Source organism: Homo sapiens, chromosome 1 (assembly GCF_000001405.40).
Source record: "Homo sapiens chromosome 1, GRCh38.p14 Primary Assembly".
NCBI classification, from domain to species: domain Eukaryota; kingdom Metazoa; phylum Chordata; class Mammalia; order Primates; family Hominidae; genus Homo; species Homo sapiens.
In genome coordinates, this window is record NC_000001.11 from 59,835,955 (window position 1) to 59,860,633 (window position 24,679).

At 33.4% G+C, this 24,679-nt stretch overlaps 1 protein-coding gene across 7 annotated transcripts in view; it reads left to right on the forward strand.

The window, feature by feature from the left end:
• Positions 1 to 24,679, forward strand: part of HOOK1 (hook microtubule tethering protein 1) — a 61,374-nt gene that overhangs the window by 21,006 nt on the left and 15,689 nt on the right. For 6 of the 7 annotated variants that reach the window (NM_015888.6, XM_047422232.1, XM_047422230.1 and 3 more), the window contains exons 7-15: positions 919 to 981; positions 4,354 to 4,437; positions 7,478 to 7,644; positions 11,091 to 11,231; positions 12,361 to 12,562; positions 13,119 to 13,229; positions 22,474 to 22,561; positions 23,031 to 23,091; positions 24,234 to 24,374. In NM_015888.6, coding sequence (NP_056972.1) covers positions 919 to 981; positions 4,354 to 4,437; positions 7,478 to 7,644; positions 11,091 to 11,231; positions 12,361 to 12,562; positions 13,119 to 13,229; positions 22,474 to 22,561; positions 23,031 to 23,091; positions 24,234 to 24,374 — 1,058 coding nt within the window. Of the gene's footprint in view, positions 1 to 918; positions 982 to 4,353; positions 4,438 to 7,477; positions 7,645 to 11,090; positions 11,232 to 12,360; positions 12,563 to 13,118; positions 13,230 to 18,759; positions 19,977 to 22,473; positions 22,562 to 23,030; positions 23,092 to 24,233; positions 24,375 to 24,679 lie in introns of those variants that run through there. The other variant, XM_017001424.2, reaches the window with a different exon arrangement.

Here is a 24,679-nt window from a genome sequence, read left to right on the forward strand (position 1 = left end):
GTTGGGGACCCTTCCTTTAAATAACTTCAACTAAGCAGGAAACGCAGGATAAACAGTCTCTGACCAGAACAGTCTCTGACCAGACAGGAGTTTTTCTTTTTTCTTTTTTTTCTTCCAGTTATAACAATCTTTCCTGAATTTTTCATTTATATATACCATATGCATTTTCAAAATGTTAGATCTGTGAGCAAATATGGTGGTACTTAGGTTTAGTTTTACCAGGTAAGTTGGATTAAAGCTAGTCTAGTTATCTAAGTTGAGCCAGGAAGGATTCAGAATTAATGTGGTGCAGAGTTGATTCTTAATATCAGCCTAAAAGGCTGAGATGGATTGCAGAGGAGACTTCAGGAAAAGCAGACTTTGGAAGGGGCATGACTTAGAGGGAGACGTCATACAGGACTTTTGTAGTCTGTACTCCCTGAGTTTGCATTGTTGGTTTGGATTCAGAGTATCCCTGTACATAAGTAAATCTGCCTTTCATCTCAGAGTTATTTTACAGGATCTTTTTTTCATATAATCGTAACTCCTACTTTTAAAATGACTTCTCAAAAAGGCTGCATTAAAAAAGTATTAACTTATAATGTATATGAATCCCTTTAAAAATTATTTAATGTGTTCACTCTTTATCAGTAATATGTCTTTTAGGACTTGTATTGAAATTTGTCAGTACACAAGTATTTTGAATATATCTATGTATTTAAAGCACAATTTACTTATAGTGTCCTCACTAATATGCTTGAATTTGTGTTATTAAGTTAAGGCTCTAATAAAGTTTTTATCTGAATAGCGTTCTAAGGATCCTCAAATTAAGGCAAGGAAAAGCTAAATATAAATCATTTTACTATCCTTTCAAGAAAATATATTTTACTTCATAAACATCACATTGTTATACTTAATTTTATTATTTTAATTTCCTAGTTGATGAGTAAAGAAATATTGAGCTCTCCTCCAAATGATGCTGTTGGAGAATTGGAGCAACAGGTGAGTATTTTAGTATGGAAGAAAAATGTTGAAAGCAATGTTAGGGTTTCTTTGCCAATTACTCTCATAAGGCTTACAAAGAGAGCATATACAATAATATTTTCTTCTGTGAAATTTGGTTTATTCTTCTGCATGATCCCAATTGAATGGCAGTGGTGTTGGTCTCCAGAGATTTTTGTGATCATGTTGAAAGAGTTGAGTGGCATTGAACATTCCTTCTGACACTTGTATATTTGGACCATGCTGTATGGTAACACAGTGAAATAGAGGACAATTAAAAACAAACTCTGCTAAGTTTTAATTTATTTAATAATGTAATTTTTTTCACTGTTGCTATCCTCTCACTTGATATTGAAGAAATAGCTCAAAGGCCCTGTACTCAAGGCTCCTTTCCTTCAGGACTGTTTTACAGGGGGAAAAGACACTCTTCTCCCATTTATAACCCAATCTGGGTTATAGAGTAAAGGGTAAAAGGAGAGGCAAATGCATTAAGTACTTTTTCTGTTATATTTTTAAACACTTCTTCTTTTATGAGTGTCGCCAGTCATCTCAAGAAGTATTTCAAAAGAAAATGTTTAAAGAAATAATTTATTTAAATGTAAACATGCTGTGTTTTTTCCTAAACATTTTTCTGTAATAAAACTAAACAATGCCTTCTCTAATACTTGTAAAAATATTTTGCAGGGATTTACATAAAATGTAGTTCTGTGGGACTGTAGCCTTCAATGTTAATGAGGTCATGTAAAACAAAGACAACAATTTTTTTTATTATTATTATACTTTAAGTTCTGGGTTACATGTGCAGAACATGAAGTTTTGTTACATAGGTATACACATGGCATGATGGTTTGCTGCACCCGTCAACCTGTTACCTACATTAGGTATTTCTCCTAATGTTATCCCTTTCCTAGCCCCCCACCCCCCACAGGCCCTGGTGTGTGATGCTCCCCTCCTTGTGTCCATGTATTCTTATTGTTCAACTCCCACTTATGAGTGAGAACATGTGGTGGTTGGTTTTCTGATCTTGAGATAGTTTGCTGAGAATGATTGTTTCCAGCTTCATCCATGTCCCTGCAAAGGACATGAACTCATCCTTTTTTATGGCTGCATAGTATTCCATGGTGTATATGTGCCACATTTTCTTAATCCAGTCCATCTTTGATGGACATTTGGGTTGGTTCCAAGTCTTTGCTATTGTGAATAGTGCTGTAATAAAAATACGTGTGCATTTGTCTTTGTAGTAGAATGATTTATAATCCTTTGGGTATATGCCCAGTAATGGGATTGCTGGGTCAAATGGTATTTCTAGTTCTAGATCCTTGAGGAATCGCCACACTGTCTTCCACAATGGTTGAACTAATTTATGCTCCCAACAACAGTGTAAAAGCGTTCCTATTTTTCCACAGCCTCTCCAGTATCTGTTGTTTCCTGACTTTTTAATGTTCGCCATTCTAACTGGTGTGAGATAGTATCTCATTGTGGTTTTGATTTGCGTTTCTCTAATGACCTGTGATGATGAGCATTTTTTCATATGTCCGTTCGCTGCATAAATGTCTTCTTTTGAGAAGTGTCTTCTTTTGAGACACTTTGCCCATTTTTTGATGGGGTTTTTTGCTTTTTTCTTGTAAATTTGTTTAAGTTCTTTGTAGATTCTGGATATTAGCCCTTTGTCAGATGGATAGATTGCAAAATTTTTTTCCCATTCTGTAGGTTGCCTGTTCACTCTGATGATAGTTTCTTTTGCTGTGCAGAAGCTCTTTAGTTTAATTAGATCCCATTTGTCAATTTTGGCTTTTGTTGCCATTGCTTTTGGGTTTTAGACATGAAGTCTTTGCCCATGCTTCTGTCCTGAATGGCATTGCCCAGGTTTTCTTCTAGGATTTTTATGGTCCTATGTCTTACATTTAAGTCTTTGATCCATCTTGAGTTGATTTTTGTATAAGATGTGAGGAAGGGGTCCAGTTTCAGTTTTCTGCATATGGCTAGCCAGTTTTCCCAACACCATTTATTAAATAGGGAATCTTTTCCCCATTACTTGTGTGTGTCAGGTTTATCAAAGATCAGATGGTGGTAGATGTGTGGTGTTATTTCTGAGGGCCCTGTTCTGTTCCATTGGTCTATATATCTGTTTTGGTACCAGTACCATGCTGTTTTTGTTACTGTAGCCTTGTAGTAAAGTTTGAAGTCAGGTAATGTGATGCCTCCAGCTTTGTTCTTCTTGCACACAATTGCCTTGGCTATGCGGGCTCTTTTTTGGTTCCATATGAAGATTAAAGTAGTTGTTTCCAATTCTGTGAAGAAAGTCAGTGGTAGCTTGATGGGGATAGCTTTGAATCTATAAATTACCTTGGGCAGTATGGCCATTTTCACAATATTGATTCTTCCTACCCATGAGCATGGAATGTTCCTCCATTTGTTTGTGTCCTCTTTTATTTCATTGAGCAGTGGTTTGTAGTTCCCCTTGAAGAGGTCCTTCACATCCCTTGTAAGTTGTATTCTTAGTATTTTATTCTCTTAGTAGCAATTGTGAATGGGAGTTCACCCATGATTTGGCTGTCTGTTATTGGTGTATAGGAATGCTTGTGATTTTTGCACATTGATTTTGTATCCTGAGACTTTGCTGAAGTTGTTTATCAGCTTAAGGAGATTTTGGGCTGGTACAATGGGGTTTTCTAAATATACAATCATGTCATCTGCAAACAGAGACAATTTGGCTTCCTCTCTTCCTATTTGAATAGGCTTTATTGCTTTCTCTTGCCTGATTGCCCTGGCCAGAACTTCCAATACTATGTTGAATAGGAGCGGTGAGAGAGGGCATCCTTGTCTTGTGCCAGTTTTCAAAGGGAATGCTTCCAGTTTTTGCCCATTCAGTATGATATTGGCTGTGGTTTTGTCATAAATAGCTCTTATTATGTTTAGATACGTTCCATTGATACCTAGTTTTTTGAGAGTTTTTAGCATGAAAGGCTGTTGAATTTTGTTGAAGGACTTTGCTGCATCTATTGAGATAATCATGTGGTTTTTGTCATTGGTTCTGTTTATGTGATGGATTACATTTATTGATTTGTGTATGTTGAACCAGCCTTGCATCCCAGGGATGAAACCAACTTGATCGTGGTGGATAAGCTTTTTGAGTGCTGCTGGATTCGGTTTGCCAGTATTTTATTGAGGATTTTCACATCGATGTTCATCAGGGATATTGGCCTAAAATTCTCTTTTTTTTGTTGTAAGAGTCATTTCTTATTAGGTAAATTCAAAAAATAATTTCCCATATCAGTGTATATGTGTGTTGTGAGAAGAGTATATTTTTCTATTTTTCTATATTTGTGTCAAAACACGATTTACTAAGATTTAGGACATTTTGTATTTCAGCTTAAAAGAGCCTTGGAAGAACTTCAGGAAGCACTAGCAGAAAAAGAAGAGCTGAGGCAAAGATGTGAAGAATTGGATATGCAGGTACGGGAAAAAACCCTGAGCTGAGAAAAACTTCCTCTTTAAGTTTACAGAAGATTTTTATTGTAATTAATTAGTTAGCACTATGTTTTGTAGATTAGGTTTGACTTCATGGAGGTAACATTAAAAGGATTTCTTATAGGCTTGAATATTCAAGTATTAATTTCATAAATATTTTTCTCTGATAGTTGAAATTTGCTGGCTTAACTTTCTTTGAGAAAATCACTCTACTAATTTTAAAATTTCAATTATTTAGATAAGAACTCAGTTTTCATTTTTGTAAAATGGGAAAGTTAAAGTTTCTACTTCATATTGTGTATGTGAATATTAAGTAGAGGTAATTTATGGAAGTATTAAGTGGTACCTGACACTTCCCCCCCAGTAAATTCAAGTACATGTTCATATTTATGTATGTAGTCTCTTATGGCAAATTTTTGCTAACATGTATGTATATATAAACGTGTGTATATAATCTTGTATTCATATGCACATGTATGTTAAAATGAACTTGGCATGAGCAACAATAGTTAATGGTTAAGAGGTTAGATTGTCAAACCAGGCTACCTACATTCAGAACCTGGCATATTACTAGCTGGTTATATGCTCCAGGCACATTACTTAATTATCCTGTACTTCAGTTTTCTCTTTTGAGAAATGGAGTGATGATAGCATATATCTCCCAGAGTGGTCGTGAGGGTTAAATGAGTTCATATATATAGCACTTAGAGCCTGGCACAGAAGTGCTGTGTTTATTGTTTGCATATGATGTTACTGTTACATTAAAATACAAATGTGCATATTATGCAATTAGTCTAGAAAAAGGTGTACAGAAGGTTAAGTGTACCTTCATAATATGCTGTATGTAAATGGCATTTTTTTGTTTGAATAATGAGCTAAATTTGTAGTTGATTCTCTGAAAAGTGTAAGGGCAAGGAGCAAAGGTGTGGTAGCATTATCCTTGCTAGAGGAAGTAAATATCTAAAATGACAGGGCTAGATAATGCTTCTAACCCTTAAGCATTTGGAAATAAAGAAAAGGAAAAGACTTGGTTAGGGTGACTAGTCACTTAGGGCAGTGGGAGCACTAGAATTCAGGTCTTCTAACTTCATCTGTAAAAACCAGTCCTCTGTATTTGAATGAAGTAAGTGTCTCAAGTAAGGGAAATTTAATCTGTTCTCCTTCGCACCTTTCCTAACTACATATTGTAACATATACCTTCAGACACATGCAAAGTACCTGAAATGTGTTCATTTTAAATGGGATCATATTCACCCTGTAAAATACCTTGTAGGAAAAACAGAAGATTGAGCCATTCAGGTATTACCATTCTCTTGTAGGATCTAGGTACAGTCTTCTGAGAAATTCTTATTCAATAAAGAACACAAAATTCTGCATTTAAAGATTTATGTGTTTGTAACAAATAATAAAGGATATATGATCTGGTTTTAGGTGAAAAGTGCAGAAATCCCAAACAGAGGGAGACAGAGACAGGTGCAGATTGAACTTATCACCATGAGAGCTTGTTGAAGGAGATGCCTGGAACCACCACCCAGTGTTCCAAGTCACGGTTCTGGGGTGGGAACAAGGAATGTGCCTGTCTCGCACCCTTCTTACTCATGTCTGTGCCAGAGATGGCTCTGGAGCCACATTGAAGCATATGGATAGGAGCAAGATTGGTTATTCACCAGGTGTTCAAAACTAAAATTTGCCCTTGGTCCTATTCGTTTTTAGAGGAGTCCTACCCAGTTTTGATGCCTGAGGGTGTTGTTTTTCCTCTGTCAGTCATTTTTTGACAGCCCCTACACTCAAGCTAGAATGAGATATTCTTTTCTTTGTGCCCTACCCTTACCCTATAGTGTACTTCTATCAAAGCACCTTCAACATCTTTTACATAATTGTTTACATTTCTACTGTAAGGGTCTTGGGGGCAGAAACTCTTTATTCTTTTTTGTATCTGAATCACTTAGAATTATTATGCATGACAGGTAATAGTAGTCACTAAACAGCTTACATAATAGGCATGGATGCATGCATTGAATTTGGGAATAGAAAGTTATTTCATTATATTGTCTGCCCAGGGACAGTTTCCCAGACTTTGTAGTTCTCATTTAGAAGACAGTAACTTGCCTATATACTGTGTTCAGGGCAATCACTTGATGTTAATTTCCTATTAGTTCTTTGTGTCAATGTGTAGTCATATTTACATAACTGGATTGAATTACATGTTTTGAAGATATGGATAGCAAACTTATTCAGTAATACACTGGAAATCAGAATAGGTTAATCAATGGTTTTTCAAACTAATTCTTAATCATATGTAAAAGTTCTGGCCTTATCAAAAGACACAGCCTTAGCTATACATTTTTAAAGATGTTTTTAAATGGAAAAGAAGTAGAACCAGGAGAGAAAATCATGCATGTTTTAAAAATATGAATAAAAAAAATTGCTCCAGGTACTGATAATGATGTGGTTCTACACTAACATGTTTTTATTCGTTTTAAATCATAAGCAAATAGTTTAAATGTACAAATGGAAACAGCTTAGCTTTTTGTTATTGAATCATTAACCAAATGTGCTTATTTCTTGAATATGTGATATGTGACTGATAATTTTATACTCTCAACCTATCATGATAACTTTGAACATATGTGTGTATATTTTGGCTTAGCAGGTGACATCATTCTAAAAATTAGTTTATACCTAAAAGAGGAGACAAATTAATTTTTTGAAGTTTCATTTGTGCATCAAATTTTAGAGACTTGAAAACATTTTCTTCCCCAAACAAAGGCAGGCATAGCATTTTAAAGATATAGTTACTCTATTTTCTCCATATGTGTATTGATTTGATTTCTTTTCTTTGACTTACATCTCCTAGACTCTGAATTCTGCATTCAGAAGGATCCTTAGAACTCATCTAGTATGACAGACCAAGCTATTTAATGGCTTAGTCAGATCTAGAATCCAGAACTCTAGACTCTAATAAGAATTTTTATTTTTTTGTTTTTTTTCTACTGGTGCTTATGTATGTGTATTTGTTTCTTAGGTGACTACACTTCAAGATGAAAAGAATTCACTGGTTTCTGAAAATGAGATGATGAATGAAAAACTTGACCAGTTGGATGGCTCTTTTGATGATCCAAACACAGTGGTTGCAAAAAAGTATTTTCATGCACAATTACAACTAGAACAATTACAGGAAGAAAACTTCAGGTAGCATTTTTAATGGAAATCATTTTATGGAGTTCTGTCTATTATACCAGTAGCAAAAAGTCACAGTATTAACAGCTAATTACTAAGCATTGTTAAGCATCTTTAGGATACTGATTAAGCTCCTGAAAATACCAGATGGTATAAGTGGTTCCTGTTATCACAGGGCTAACATCCAGTTAGGAAGTGGGAGATACACATAAAAACAAAACCATTTAAATATGTGTTAAGGACCAAATCAAGGCCATAGGACAGCCAATAGGAGTTCAAGGCAGTGATTGCTGAAACCTGGGGAGAACAAGGAGTTTCTCAAATAAGATAGGTAACCCTGTAATAAATGGAAAAAAATGTAAATCGTAAGCCAAGTAGGTGCTTTTCATTTTAACTTGTATATTTCTTTAACAAAGTCATGTATCCTTACCTTTAATAAACATTGATTATCTTTTGTGTGCATACCACTCAGCCATGAACTATAAGACCTTGAGGACAGGCACTCTAATTGTACTATACATATTTTTTTGTTACTTAATTTTGATATAACTTCAAACTCCCTAAAAAAGTTGCAAGAATACTACAAGGAACTTCTTTACACCTTTTACTCAGATTCAACAATTATTTTACAGTTTTCTCCATTTGCTTTAGCAATCTCTGTATATAGTCATATAATTTTCATATTTTTATCTGAACCATTTGAGAGAAAGTTGGACACATGTCTCTTTACCCCTGTATATTTCAGTGCATATTTCCTAAGAATGAGGACATTCTCTTATAAGCCACGTTATTTTCACATTATTGTGAAAAATGATATAACCATTAAAATTGGGATCTTTTTCTGGACTCTCATTTCATTTCTGTTAGTAAATTTGTGCCTGTATGACACTATATTAATTACTATGGTTTTAGAGTATGACTCTTGAGATCTGGTAGTGTAAGTATTCCAATTTTGTTCTTTCTTTTTCAAAATTTGTTTTGGCTATTCTAAGTCTTTAGCATTTTCCCATAAAATTGAGAATCAGCTGATCAGTTTCTACTAAAAACCTTTTCAGGATTATGATTTGGATTGTATAATTGATATCTTAACTATATAGAGAATTCCTATCTATGAATGTAGTCTCATTTATTTAAATATTTAATTTCACTCGGCAGTGCTGTATTGTTTCTAGCATAGAAGTCTTGTATGTCTTTTGTTAATTTTTTACCCAAGTATTTTGTTTTTGATGCTATTGTAAATGCAAATTCAGAATTATTGTGAAAATTTGCTGCTAATCTGTAGATAGATGTACAATTATATATTGAAACTTTGATCTTACACCTTGAAACTTGTATCTTAAATATATTGAAACTTTTATATCTTGCAAAGTTTCTAAATTCACTTATTGAGCTGGTAGTTTGTTTAGATTTAAAAAAGAAATCCTTAGTCCATTCCTGCTGCTTTAACAAAATACCTTAGACAGGGTAATTTATGAACAAATCTACCACTCACAATTCTGAAGACTGGGAACTCCAAAATCAAGGTACCAGCAGATTCAGTGTCTGTTTGAGGGATAGCTCTCTGCCTCCAAGATGGCTTCCTCTTGCTGAATCCTTAGGTCCCTTTAACCTCTTTCATAAGAGCACTAATCCCATTCAAGGGGACAGAGCCCTCATAACTTAATCACTTCCCAAACGGCCCCACCTCTTAATACCACCACAATGGGGATTAGGTTTCAACATGAATTTTAGAGGAACACAGACTATGGAATCTACAGTCATTTCATCTATTAATAGAACTTTACATCTTCCTTTCATTATTTCTGTCTTGTATTTATTTTCCTTGCCTTGTTGCAAGAGCAGCTGTCATTGCTTTTTTCCTGGTCTTAGAGGGATCATGTGCAATTAGGATCCGTCAAGTATGATGCTAGCTGTAGAGTTGTTCGATGTGCTTTCTGTCAGATTGAGGAAATTCCCCTTGTTTCCACCCTGCTAAAAGTTTTTTGTTTTTGTTTTTTTTTTCAATCATGATTAGCTGTTGATTTTTGTCAGATGATTTTTCTGCATCTTGAAAAGATGGTGTAGCTTTTCTTTTTCATTCTTGTAATATATTGATTGATTTTTGAATGTTAAAAACCTACATTCTGGAGATAAACCACTTTGTTCATACTTTATTATCCTGTATATGTGACTAGATTCAGTTAATAATTTGAAAGAATTTTTATAACTGTCTTTATAATAGATATTGGTCTAAATTTTGTCTCTTGTAATGTCTTGTTCAGGATTTATCAGAGTTCTACTAGTCTCATAGAATAACTGAGGCATATTCTCTGTTCTTCTGTTTTCTGAAAGAGTTTATGTAAAAATGTTATTTCTTTCTTAAATTTTGATACAGTTTATCAGTAACACAATTTGGACCTATGGTTTTCTTTGTGAGTGTGTTTTTCCTGACAAATTTAATTTCTTTAATGGTCATAGGGCTTTTCAGATTTCCTATTTCATCTTGTGTTCAGTTTGGTAAGTTGTATTTTTCAGTGTATATGTTTATTTAAGTTGTTGAACTTATTGACATGAAGTTCTTCATAATATTCTCTTCTTATCCTTAAAACTCAGTGTCTATGGTTATTTAAGTTGTTTAATTTATCGACATGAAGTTGTTCATAATATTCTTTTTTTATCGTTATAATGATTCTGGCAGATGTGATGATATACCCTTTTACATTCCTGATATTGCTTGGGTTTTCTTTCATTTTTCTTGATCACTCTTGCTAGAGGTTCATCAGTTTTCTTAATCTTTTCAAACATCCTTTATTGGCCTTCTATATTATTAGTTTTAGATTTCTTTCTTTATACTTAACTTTGGATTTAAATTTCTCTCCTTTTTCTAGCCTCTTAAAGTTGAAACTTAGATCATTGATTTTAATCCTTCCTTCCCCTCCCTCCCTTTCTTCCTTCCTTCCTTTTCCTTCCTTCCTTCCTTCCTTCCTTCCTTCCTTCCTTCCTTCCTTCCTTCCTTCCTTCCTCCCTCCTCCCTCCCTCCCTCCCTCTCTCTCTCTCATTCTTTCTTTCTTTCTAACATAGACCTTTAAAACTGAGAGGCACTGGTTTACTGTTGTCCCCCAAATTTGATTGCTTGTCTTTTTGTTATTGTTTAGTTTGAAACTTTTTCTAAATTCTGTTGTGATTTTTTTTCTTGACTTGTGGGTTATTTAGGAATGTGTTGTTTAATTTACAAAGATTTAAAGCTTTTCTAGACTTCTTATTGCGACTGATTTCTAATTTAATTAACCTTTATTATTAGAGAACATGGTCCATGATATTTCAGTCTTTTGGCATTTATTGATACATATTTTATTCATCATATATTTTATTGTGTTGAGTGTTATATATGCATTTGCATATATAGTCATGCAAGTTACAATTATATAATTATAACAAATCATGGAAGTTATAAATACTTACTTTTTTATTTGTTCAAGGCTTGAAGCTGCAAAAGATGATTACCGTGTTCACTGTGAAGAACTTGAAAAGCAGCTAATCGAATTCCAGCATAGGAATGATGAATTGACTAGTCTTGCAGAAGAAACAAGAGCCCTGAAAGATGAAATAGATGTTCTTAGGTATGGCATGTCTTAAAAAATATAATTATGCCATTTCTGAGCTATTTAGTCAATTTGAGTATTTCATATTTTAATCAGGGATTCATAGGATTATTCCTGTATATCAAGTATTGATCAGTTTTTAATCCAGGCTGATAGTTTTAACTTCTTTTATGTTTGTTGTTTGGGCTTGCAGTTCATGGATAATACTCAATTTTTATTAGGACATTTTCACATTAGAACCCATAAACCCAAAATGAGACCTTTAATTAAAATTTTATAAATGGAGTACTTATAGATACATTTAACTTGACCTCCCTGTACCTGTCATATTTTGTGAAATTTTTGTGTAAGGAAATTTTTGTGTAAGGAAATGTCAATCCATATTTTGACATTTGATAAACTATAGATCAAATATAGGCAAGAATCCTAACTTTTTTTGGGGGAGGATTGTCATTTGGCAATATAAAGTTTATATTTACTTTTTTCATGTGAAATGTTACTCAGTGAACAGTCTGTCCACGTGATCTTTATTTTTTTTGTTAATTTTTCTTAATTATTTTTTGTAGTTCTTAATACTCATTTGAAACAAAATTTGTGTAACCATTAATTTGGACCTGCTTGCGATAGTGAAGTGATTTGGTTTATTTGTTTGTTCGTTTATTTATATATTTAAGTCAGGTAAGCACAACTCCAAAGGGAAGTGCTTTGCCTGACAAGTTTATAAATTTAATCAACGTCCTAAATACAGTTGAGTCAAATACTTGGAAGGAAACTATGCTGAATGTTGTACACAAAGGAAGGTTGGCCTGTAAGCTGCAGAGCAGCTGATTTGTTTAATTTTATGTACAAATCATTATTTTTTATTCATTGTGCTAATATATGAAACAGTTTGATAAATTAGTGTGTCAGATTTGAAGCATTTTTATTTTGATGGCTTTATACCAAATAGGTTGAACTTTAAATGGATTTAGGCTAGAGTCTGTTTCCAAAGTTCTTACAAAGTTTACAATTTCCTCTTCTCACTCACTCACATTTACTTTTCTTTTTTCTTTTTTGTGATAGTTTGGAAGATTCATTTTATAGCCAGAGTAAAATTATGAGTATATACTAGTTTTTGTACAGTAATGCTTAGTCTTTATGATTATAGGGCTACCTCTGATAAAGCAAATAAACTGGAGTCAACAGTTGAGATATATCGTCAGAAGCTACAAGATCTGAATGACCTTCGCAAGCAGGTGAAAACTTTACAGGAAACCAACATGATGTATATGCATAATACAGTCAGCTTAGAAGAAGAATTAAAAAAAGCAAATGCAGCACGTACACAATTAGAAACATACAAAAGGCAGGTAAGAAACATCTTAATTTTTAATTGATAAAATTGTAAGAGTTTAACTTTGTTATTCCTTTTGATGTCTTAAGAATGGTAAAGAAATTGAGAAGCGTTGCATGTAATAAGCTATGAACTTATTCTGATGAATTTCTTTCTTTAATTTTAATTCAAGGATTGATAATTGAGTTTGAGTTATCTGGGTCTTTTACCTTTTTACTGCCTCCTGAAATTATTTTTTCTTTTGAGATTTTATTGTTTATTAGCATTTCTGGTAAGCAGGGTTAATGCCTTAGAGAATGGAGCCGTAACCTAAATTCTGTTTTTCTGTTTACTAAATAGCATTAGTAGGCTGACTTTTAATTTCTTTGGCAAAACTATTATTTGAATATTTTTAGTTTTATGTTAATTCTTATCTATATGTTATTTTCCACAAGTATTTAAAATTAGACTGCAATTTTAGTGTAGATATTTATTCATAATCAGTTTTTCATTTACTCAATTCTGAAAGACTATTGAGATTTATACACTTATATACTTTTAAGGACCTTTTTTCCTTTTGTTTCTGACATTAGGTTCAAGATCTTCATGTTAAACTTTCCTCCGAATCCAAGAGGGCAGACACACTAGCGTTTGAAATGAAGCGGCTTGAAGAAAAACATGAAGCTTTACTTAAGGAAAAAGAGGTAAACATAGATATAATTGATAAGGAATATTTCATTGTTCTTTTAGTTTTGTAATGCCCTTGCTGTTTCTATAATCGTGGTGATGTCTACCAGTTCTCTCTTCCTCCAGATTGAATTTTTTGACATAAAAGTGTCTTGTAAAAATGACTTACATCTTCTTTCAATTTTTTTAGTTTTCTTCACAATGTTAGATGAAATGGTAGAGCCAAGGTCATAAGTCTCAATGAATATTTTCTAATTCTAGACTGTCAGTTGCATGGGATCAAGGACCATAGATAATAATTTTGCGATGGCTTTATTAAGATTTAATTTACTTACCGTAAATTTCACCTAAGGTGGTTTTCACAAGTCATTGGTTTTTAATATATTCACAGAGTTATACTACCATCATCATAATCATACTTTAGAACACTGCCATCACTCTAAAAAGAAACCTCATGCCCATCACCGTTTACCCTGCACTCTAATCCTCTCAGCCCTACTCTTAATAACTGTTAATCTACTTGCTATCTACAGATTTTCCTAGTCTTTCTGCAATATGTAATCATACACTTGGTGATTTTTGTGACTGACTCTTGCAAGGTTCATCCGTGTTGTAGCATATATCAGTGCTGTATCCTTTTTATTGCCGAATAATGCCCCATTGTATGGACATACGGCATTTTGTTTATCCATTCACCAGTTTATGAACATTTGGGTTGTTTCTACTTTTTGGCTGTTATGAATAATGCTATGAATGTTTATGTACAAATTTTTATTTAGATATGTTTTCATTTTTCTTGAGCATATATGCAGAAATGGTATTGATGGGTCATATGGTAACCAAGTTTAACTTCACATCCTTATCATCACCTATTATCTTTTTGATTTTAGCTATCCTAGTGGATATAAATTGGCATGTCATTGTGTTTTTGATTAGCATTTCTCTACTGACTAATGTTGTTGAGCATCTTTTATGTACTTATTAGCCATTTGTATATCTTCCTTGGAAAAATGTCTCTTCAAATCCTTTGCCAATGTTTTACTTAGGTTATATGCTTTTTAATTATTGAGTTGGAATAGTTTTTTATATATTCTAGATACAAGTTCCTTGTCAGGTATATGATTTGCAGTTTTTTTTTTCTATTCTGTGTGTTATCATCTCACTTTCTTGATGATATAGTTTGCAGCACCAAGTATTACATTTTGATGAGATCAGAGTTACTTGTTTTTCCTTTTGTTGCTTGTCTTTTTTTGGTGATGTTTCTAAAAAAACCACTGTGTAACCTAAGGTACAAAGATTTACCCTGTGTTTTTCATTTAAACAGTTTTATGGTTTTAGCTCATATATTTAGTCTGTGATCCATTTGGTATATGGTGTGAGGTAGGCATCTGGCTTTATTCTTTTGTATGTTGATATCCAGTTGTACTAGTACCACCAGTTGATAAAACTATTCTTACTACATCGAATTATTTGGTATTCTTGTTAAAAATCACTTGGCCATGATACTTTAATGGTGTATACATGTCATTATACATTCGTGAAAATCCATAGGGTGTATAACAAAAAGAGTAAACTGCAATATAAATGATGGACTTTAGTTAATAACAGTGTATCAGCATTGGCTCATCAATTCTAACAAATTACCACACAAATGCAAGATAGTAATAATAGGGGAGACTGAGAGTGAGAAGAGGGTAAGAGGAATGTAAAAGAACTCTGTATTTTCTGCTCAATTTTTCTAAAAACCTAAAACTGCTCAGAAAATAACCTCCATTAATAATTAAAAAGGTTTAAAAATTCGTTTGACCATAAATGCAAGGGTTTATTTGTGGTCTTTTAATGGTTTACTACTGGGTTGTATGTCTAATCTTATGCTAGTACCACACTCATATATTGATTATTGATTACTGTAGTTTTGTAGTTAAGTTTTGAAATTGGAAAGGGTGAGTTTTCAAACTTTATTCTTCTTCAAGGCTGTTTTTGTTATTCTGATTCCCTAGCATTTTCATGTGAATCTTGAAATCAGCTTGTCAATTCTTGCAAAAAAAAGGCAGCTGAGATTTTTATAAGAACTTCTTGATCTATAGATTAATTTAGAAATGTTGCCACTTAACAGTATTAATTTTCTGATCCATGAATGTGGGCTATCATTTCATTTATTTAGATCTTAAGTGTCTTTCAACAATGTTTTGTAGTTTTCAGTGTGCAAGACTAGCACCTTTTAAACATGTATTCCTAAGTGTTTCATTCTTTTTGTTGTTATTTTAAATAAAATTATCAATATCATTTTTGGATTTGTTAACTGCTAATATGTAGAAATTTGATGGAGTTTTGTGCATTGATCATGAATCTTCCAGCCTTTTTGAATTTGTTTACTAGTTATAGTTTTTTGGTAAGTTTCTCAGGATTATCTATATGTAAGATTATGACCTCTGCAAATAGAATTGATTTTACTTCTTTATTTGCAATTCTGATAATTTTTATTTTTCTTGCTAAGTTGTACTGGCTAGAATTGTCAGTACAATGTTAAATAAAAGTGGCATGAACAGATATCATTCTTTAGGTTCTGATCTTAGGGGAAAAGCATTGAATTTTTCACCATTATGTATGATACTAGCTGTGAGTTCTTTGTTTTCGTTTTTGTTTTTGGATGCCCTCTACAAGGTTGAAGAATTTTCCTTCTATTCGTAGTTTGTTGCATGCTGTTATCCTAAAAGAGTATCGGATTTTGTCAGATGCTTTTTCTGGATCAGTGAGATGATATATAGTATTTGTACTTTATTATATTAATATGATGTATTACATTGATTTTTTTCATGTTAAACCGATCTTGCATTATTGAGATAAATTCTACTTGTTCATAATATATACTTTAAAAAGTATATTGCCAGATTCAGTTTGCAAATATTTCATTGAAGATTTTTCCATCGGTATTATAAGGGATATTGGTTTGTAATGTTCTTGTGAGGTCATACCTGGTTTTGGTATCACTGGCCACATAGAGTGAGTTGAGAAATTTTCCCTGCTTTTTTACGTTTTGGGAAAGTTCATGAAAATTGGTATTAATTCTTCTTTAAATGTTTTGTGGAGTTCAGTTTTCTGGGCCTGAGCTTTATTTGTAGGAAGTTAATAAATTACTAATTCAATCTTTTTAGTTGCTCTAGGTCTATTCAGCTATTCTATGACTTCTTGAGCTAGTGTTACTAGTTTGTTTCTTTCTAGAGATTTGTCAATTTAATTTATCTAATTTATGGGCATACAGTTGTTTATTGTTATTTCTTCTTTATTTCTGTGAGAAACAAGAGAATTTTGCTAAGTAGTGATATCCTCTCCTTTATTTGTGATTTTTGTAATTTGAATTTCTCTGTTTTTTTTTTTTCTTGGTTAGTTTAGCTAAAGATTTGTCAATTTTGTTGATCTTTTCAAATAACTAACTTGTGGTTTTAAAATTTGTTTTCTATTCTCTATTTTATTTATTTTTACTCTAATCTTTAATAATTCATTGGTAAAGGAACACAAATTCCTTTGTATATAAGTTTTTTTTTCCTAGTTAAGATAGAAAGTTAAGTTATTGATTTGGAATTTTTCTTGATTTTTTTTAATATAGATACAGCTGTAAATTTACCTCAGGATTTATTTTGCTACATCCTGTGTTTTGGCATATTGCATTTTCGTTTAATTCTTTTGAATTATTTTCCCTTATGATTTCTTCTTTGACACATTGGTTACTTATGAGTATCTTGCTCAGTTTTCATATATTTGTGAATATCCTAAATCTCCTTGTGTCATTGATTTATTTAATTCCATTGTGGTCAGAGGACATACTTTGTGTGCATTCAGTCCTTTTAAATTTATTGAGCCCTGTATTATGGCCTAGCATATGGTCTGTTCTGCAGAGTGTTCCATGTGGATTTTTAAAAAATGTGTATTCTACTGTTGGGTAAAGTATTCTATATATGTCAGTTAGGTCTAGTTGGTTTATAATATTGTTCAAGTATTCTACCTTGAATCGTTGTGTATAGTTCTATTATTGAAAGTAGGATACTGATATTTCCAATTGTTGTTATATCATCTCTTTTTCCCTTTAATTCCGTCAGTTTTTACCTCATGTATTTTAGATCTGTGAGGTTCATTTATGTTTGTAATTGTTATATCTTCCTGATAGATTGATTTTTCTAATGTCTGTCTTTTTTCTGGTTACAATATTTATCTTAAAGTCTGTTTTGTTTAATGTTAGTATAGCCCTGTATCTTTCTTTTGGTTACTGTTTGCATCATTTTTTTCACCCTTTTATTTTCAAACTATATTTGTGTCTTTTATACTAAGATCTATTTCTTTCACCTAGCATTTACTTGGATCATTTTTAATCGATTCTGCCAGTATTTGCTTTTCAATTGGAGTTTGGAATCCATTTACATTTAATGTAATTACCGATAAAAATAGCATTTAGGTCTACCATTTTATTTTGTTTTCTGTATGTCTTTTTTTCTCCTCCATTTTTCTACTACTGCCTTTTGTGTTAGACATTTTCAATACACCAGTTTAGTTCCTTAGTTTCTTTTACAAGTTTTTAAAAGCTATTTTCTGATGGTTGTTATGGGGGATTACAATTAGCATCTTACCTTGAAACAATCCATTTAGAGTAAATGGTAAACCTAATTTCAATAGTATACTGAAAACTACTCCAAAATAAAAACTTTTCCTCCCCTCTGCTTTATGCTGTTACATCTTTATAGATTATAAACTCATTAATACTGTTTTATAATTAATGCTTTATACTATTGTCTTTTAAATCAAATTGTAGACTAAAAGAGTTAAAAATACATTAATCTTAAATATATATATATATATATATATATATATATATATATATTTTTTTTTTTTTTTTTTTTTTTTTTTTTTTGAGACGGAGTCTCCCTCTGTTGCCCAGGCTGGAGTGCAGTGACACGATTTTGGCTTACTACAACCTCTGCCTCCTGGGTTCAAGCGACTCTCCTGCGTGAGCCTCCTGAGTAGCTGGGATTACAGGCGCATGCCACCATGCCTGACTAATTTTTGTACTTTTAATAGAGACGGGGTTTCACCATGTTGGTCAGGCTGGTCTCAAACTCCTGACCTTGTGACCCACCTGCCTCGACCTCCCAAAGTGCTGGGATTACAGGCATAAGCCACCGCGCCCAGCCATTAAAATATATTTGTGTATATAGTTACCTCTGTTGGTGGTGTTTCTTTGGCTAAATTCAAATTTCTCAGTAGTGTCCTTTTATTTCAACCTGAAGGACTCCTTTTAGTATTTTTCTATAGAGAAAGTCTGCTAATGATACATTCTCTGTTGTTTTTTTTTTACTCTTGGAAAAATTTCAGTTCATCTTTCATATTCAAAAGATGTATTGCTAGATATAAAATTCTTGTTTGACAGTCTTTTTCTTTTAGCATTTTATGTCATCCTACTGTGTTATGGCCTCCATTATTTGATGAGAAATCTGCTGTTAATCTTATTAAGGCTCCTTTTAAGTGATGAATCCTTTTTCTCTTGCTGCTTTCAAGATTTTCGCTTTGCCCTTGGCTTTCAGCAGTTTGACTTTGATATATCCAGGTGTGTGGATCCTTTTTAGTTTATTGTACTTTGAATTTGTTGAATTTCTTAGAACTGTAGATTGATGATCCAAGGTTGGAAAAAATTTGATTTCCAGATTTGAAATATTATATTATTTAAATGTCAGGTTTTCAACAAAAATGCAAGATATACAAAGAAACAGGGTAGCCTATACATGGTAAAACAACGACAACAAGCAGTCAACAGAAACAGCCAGTGAGGTGTCCTAATGGACGACAACAAGCAGTCAACAGAAACAGCCAGTGAGGTGTCCTAATGGGTGGATATACTAGACTAACACAGAGAGAGCTATTCTAAGTATGTTCAAAGAACTAAAGCAAACCTTTTATTTTTCTTTTAAACAAAAACAAAAAAACAACACTTTATTTTAGGTTCAGGGATACATATGAAGTTTTGTTATATAGGTCAACTCATGCCATGGGGATTCATCGTAAAGATTGTTTCCTCAACCAGGTATTAAGCCCAGTACCCAGTAGTTATCTTTTCTGCTCCTCTCTCTCCACCAACCCTCTGCTCTCAAGTAAACCCCAGTGTCTATTGCTCCCTTCTTTGTGTTCATGAGTTCTCATCATTTAGCTTCCACTTGTGAGAACACGTGGTATTTGGTTTTCTGTTCCTGTGTTAGTTTGCTAAGGATAATAGCCTCCACCTCCATCCATGTTCCTGCAAAAGACATGATCTTGCTCTTTTTTATGGCTGCATAGTATTCCATGGTGTATATGTACCACATTTTCTTTATCCAATCTGTCATTAATGGGCATTTAGACTGATTCCATGATTTTGCTCTTATGAATAGTTCTGCAGTAAACATTTGCATGCATGTGCTACTTTTAAAGAATAAGGAAATTTTATAACTTTTCATAAAATTTGGCAAGTTTTTAGCAATTTTTCTCTTCTTCTGGGTTTCCTGTTATATTGGCATACTTGATGGGAGTCCTACAGCTCTCTGATACTCCTCTGCTGAAGTCTGCACTGAGCCCATCTAGTTATTTTATTTTATTTTTTTTGAGACATGGTCTTGCTCTGTCATCCAGGCTGGAGTGCAGTGGCGCAGTCATGGCTCATTGAAGCCTCAACCCCTTGGGCATCAAGCAGTCTTCTTGCCTCAGTCTCCCTAGTAGTTGGGACTATAAGCACACTCCACCATACCCAGCTAATTTATATATATATATATATAAATTATTATATATATATATATATATTTTTTTTTTTTTTTTTTTTTTTTTTGTAGAGACAGGGTTTGCCATGTTGCCCAGGCTGGTCAAGCTCCTGGGAATCTGCCCACCTCAGCCTCCCATAGTGAATTGTTTGTTTGTTTGTTTTGCTTTGCTTTTTTTTTTTTTTTAGACATGGGGACTCACTATGTTGGCCAGGTTGGTCTTGAACTCCTTGCCTCAAACAATCCTTTCACCTTAGCTCTTAAAGTACTGGGATTCCAGGCATGAGCTACCACAACCAGCCCCTATAGTGAATTTTTCATATCATTTATTGTTCTTTTCAACTCAAAATTTCTAGTTATTTCTTTTTAATAAATTCTCTTATACTCTCTTTGGTGAGACATTGCTATAATTTCTTTTAATTCTTTACAAATGGTTTGCTTTAGTTCTTTGAACATACTTAGAATAGCTCTCTCTGTCTTAGTCTAGTCTGTCTACCCACTGGCACTCTCACTGGCTGTTTCTGTTGACTTCTTTTTTTTTTTTCACCCTGTGTATAGGCTATTCTGTTTGTGTATTTTGTATTTTTGTTGAAAATCTGACATTTAAAATAATATAAAATTTCAAATCTGGAAATCAGACTTTTTCCATTCTTAGGGTTTATTGTTGTTGCTGTTTGTTTTTTTAAGTGACTTTTTGGGACTAATTCTGTAAAGCCCACATTCTTTATGTTGTGTAGCCACTGAAGTCTCTGCTCAGTTACCACAGTGGTTAGTTCATGATTGGTCAGAGATTACCATAGGTGCCTTGAGTCTTTGGTAAAGGCTGTGACAGTATGTGTGTTATAAAACACCTTCAGTGCTTAGGCAGTTTGAAATTCTGCCTTTGCCTTCCTGTTTGCTCAGGGCCTCATGTTTATCCAGTGCTGAGACAATGCGGGCCCTCTCATGTCTTTTCTGGGCATGTGCACAGCCCTGTACTTGGCTGACCTTCGAGATCTCCGGGAACATGTCAGAGCTTTTTAAAGATTCCTATGGGCATCTTATTTCTCAGATCTTTCTTGCAAATTTTTGGCCAGGCTCTTGTGTACCATAGCCATTATCACAGCCTTCAGTACCTGTGGTGGCAAACAGTTGCTGATGATTCTATTTGCCAAATGTCTCGGAAATATTTCCTGCAGAGCAAGCAGTGACTCAGGTCAAATCATGAAGAGTCCCTACAAATGGGATTTAGGAAGCTGCAAGACAGGTTAAACAGTGACAATTCTCTGTGGATGGGGCTTTTTAAGGGAGCCCCATATCCATCCAGTCTGTGCCCATTCTGGTGGCTGCTAGAGCTGCTGGTTTTCACAGCTACAGCAATTGAAAGGCTGCTTGTTTTCAAGGTTACTGCAGAGCTGGGGAGACGGGAATCATAGTTAGAAAAGTTAAAAGAGCAAAAAGCTTACTGTTCTAACCAAGGTTTAGCAGGTTTACTTTAATAAATGCTCACCAGACTGTTGTAGGCCTTTGGTTTATTCCCAGAATTCTGAAATAGTTGATAATGACAAATGTGCTAGTGTGTGCATTACGTTAATGGAGGAACAGATTTACAGAGGTCTTTGTGCCTGCTCCTGCTAGATTTCCAACTTTAGGGTTCAGAGATCCTTAAGGCACCTACGGACCCCTTGAATCAGTTACCAGTTTACTGCTAAATTGATTTGAAACACGTAATGGACTAATTAGGGCTTTGTTTATTGACTTGGAACATAACAGCATTTAACACATGATTTTATATTCAGTAGTACTTTTCAAGTTCTGGGAAAATGATTTAAACATGAACGTTCTGTTCGTAACCTAGAAGTTTGTCATTGGTGTAGGCTGTAAAATAAAATAGTCAGTGATATGAAGTACCAGCTTGCTGTCCTTGGGAAATGGTGTTTTTCCGCCAATGTGTATCTCCAGGATACTACTTACCACTTCTTCCAGTTGAGTTTCACAACAGTGGTAAAAAGTAACTAGTCTCCAGCGTCTCTTACACACCAACCTATATTCTAGATCCTTGACTAATACCACCTTTGTTATTCAGAACACCTTTGCAAGGGTTTATGTATCAGTATTCCTATTTTGAAGTTATGGATACTAAAGCCAAAGAGTTATATAAGTTGCCTAAGACAATATAGCTAGGAAGTGGTGAAATTGGTATTCAAACCATGGTCTTTATGCCTCCAAAGTCCATGCTTTTTTATTACCCGTTGCATATCTGTCCTCTGTTACATAATTGCATTCATTTTGTTCAAAGATAAGCTATCTGATGGGAAAGTCAAAACCATGTATAAAGACACATACTATTTATGTAACTGAATAGAAAATGAGCTTCTTAAAACTAAAACATTGTCACTTAAAATTAAGCAACAATTATTAAACTAGTTAAGATAAATTGTAAGCATAAAGTACATTGTTTATAGGCAGAATTAAATACTTTGCTGATATCAACAATTCTTTTCAGAGACTAATTGAGCAGCGTGATACTTTGAAAGAAACAAATGAAGAGCTTCGATGTTCACAAGTACAACAGGACCACCTAAACCAAACAGGTTAATTTTGTTAGATTTAGAAAAGTTTCAGCCTGGGCAGCATAGTGGGACTCCATTCAACAAAAAATAAAAACTTAACCTGTCATGGTGGCGCATGCCTATAGTCCTAGCTCTGGGAGGCTGAGGCGGGAGGATCACTTGAGCCTAGGAGTTTGAAGTTGCAGTGAGCTATGATTGTACCACTGCACTCCAGGCTTGGTGTGAAAGAGAAAAAGAGAGAAAGAGAGAAAGGAAAGAAAGAAGGAGGGAAGGAAGGAAGGAAGGAAGGAGCACGGGAGGGAGGGAAAGGAAGGAAAGGAAAGGAGAGGAGGAGGGAGGGGAGGGGAGGGGAGCGGGGAATTGGGTTTTTGGACAGAGAGAGACCCTATCGAAAGAAAGAAAAACAAAGAGAGGGAGGGGGGGAAGGAGGGAGGGTTTTTTAAAATAGTTGAAATACTGAAATGCTAATTTATTTTTTGTTATTTTTTAGATGCATCTGCTACAAAAAGTTATGAGAATCTTGCTGCTGAGATTATGCCAGTGGAATATAGGTAAATTTGTTTCATAATTTGATAGAATTATATTTAATATTATAATTTTTTTGTTTTTTGTAAATGTCTTGGCCTTTAAAAACTTATTTTATGACTCATAGAGCTGAAAATTACTGTTTGATCTACTTAAACTTTCTAAATCATATTATTATTGCTACCACAACAATTTAAAATTTTATCAGAAGTAAAATTTCACAAACCCGTTGAATAACATATTTTAGTTTTTATAATATGACATGACCCCCATGTGCTATGTTATAATTGCTTTAACTAGGGAGATTTAAGTATATACTTTAAAGTTAGGAAATTATTAGAAAACAAAAATCAATATGATTTCACAAGCCTTTGATGGGAGAAGTGGTAAATGTATAAAGGGAGAAAAGTTACTTATCTTGCTTAGTGGGGAGTCAATCATTAACTTAAAATTAGTAATTTAAAAAATAGCCATATGAGCTTTTTTTTTAAGAGTTATACTATTGGCATTCAGAAGAACAAAAATTGAGATTACTTGAAATTAGTTGCTTTTGAAGAATGGGATTTGGCAGGGGAACAACTAAGGGAGAGTATTACCTCCCTATTTAATACAAATAATATTAACATCAATAATATTAATAAAAAGTTGCATTTTTTAAAAGTACATGTAAATCTTTAATAAAATTTTTTTCAGAAACAAAAGATCTAGAAACTTTCTTATTGCCATTATAAGGTATATATTAAAATTTTGCTCAAACTATAGTTTCTTAAATCTATTGCTTTTCTTTTATGTGTTTTCTAAGCATATACTATTTGTTTCCTTTAGCGAATAGTTTCTAAATTACCAAAGTAATATAATTTCTATTATCTCTTCAGGAATGGCATAATAACAATTTAATGATTTATAGCATAATCTTATATGGTACCTATAAAATTTGACTGCTTTTTTTTAAAGGCACAGTCTTGCAGTTTACATAATTTTTTCTTAAACACTTTCAGAAGCTTTTGTTGGAGTTTAAGAGTTTCATACCCTACCAGCTATGCTAGCTGGTCCTGCTTGCATCTTAAAATGGTAGCTATTGAGTGGACAGGAATTTCCTTTTTTTAACTAAAGAATATAATGACTCATATTTTTAAAAATTAAAAAAGATTTTGCTTTGTAACATCAGGGAGGTGTTTATTCGACTGCAACATGAAAATAAGATGCTTCGCTTACAGCAAGAAGGCTCTGAGAATGAACGTATTGAGGAACTTCAGGAGCAGCTAGAACAGAAACACCGTAAAATGAATGAACTGGAAACTGAGCAGAGGTGATATGCTCCTTAGTAACTGAAAATCTTGGTGATTTTATTACCGAGCCATAAAATCTTGATTCACAGAAATGGAAAATATTATTGTAGCTAAAGTAATTAGAATTACCTAGAAATAGTTTAATATTTTTGTTAGTAGTCTTTCATCACTATAAGCTTCTCTCTGTGAAAGAAGTCAGGTGATTCATTTCAGTTATATTTATAAAATATATGGATAATCCATTAATTTCAGCATTCTTGGTTAACCAGGCTACTTATTCTTTTTATTCTTTTTGAGACAGGGTCTCCCTCTGTCGCCCAGGCTG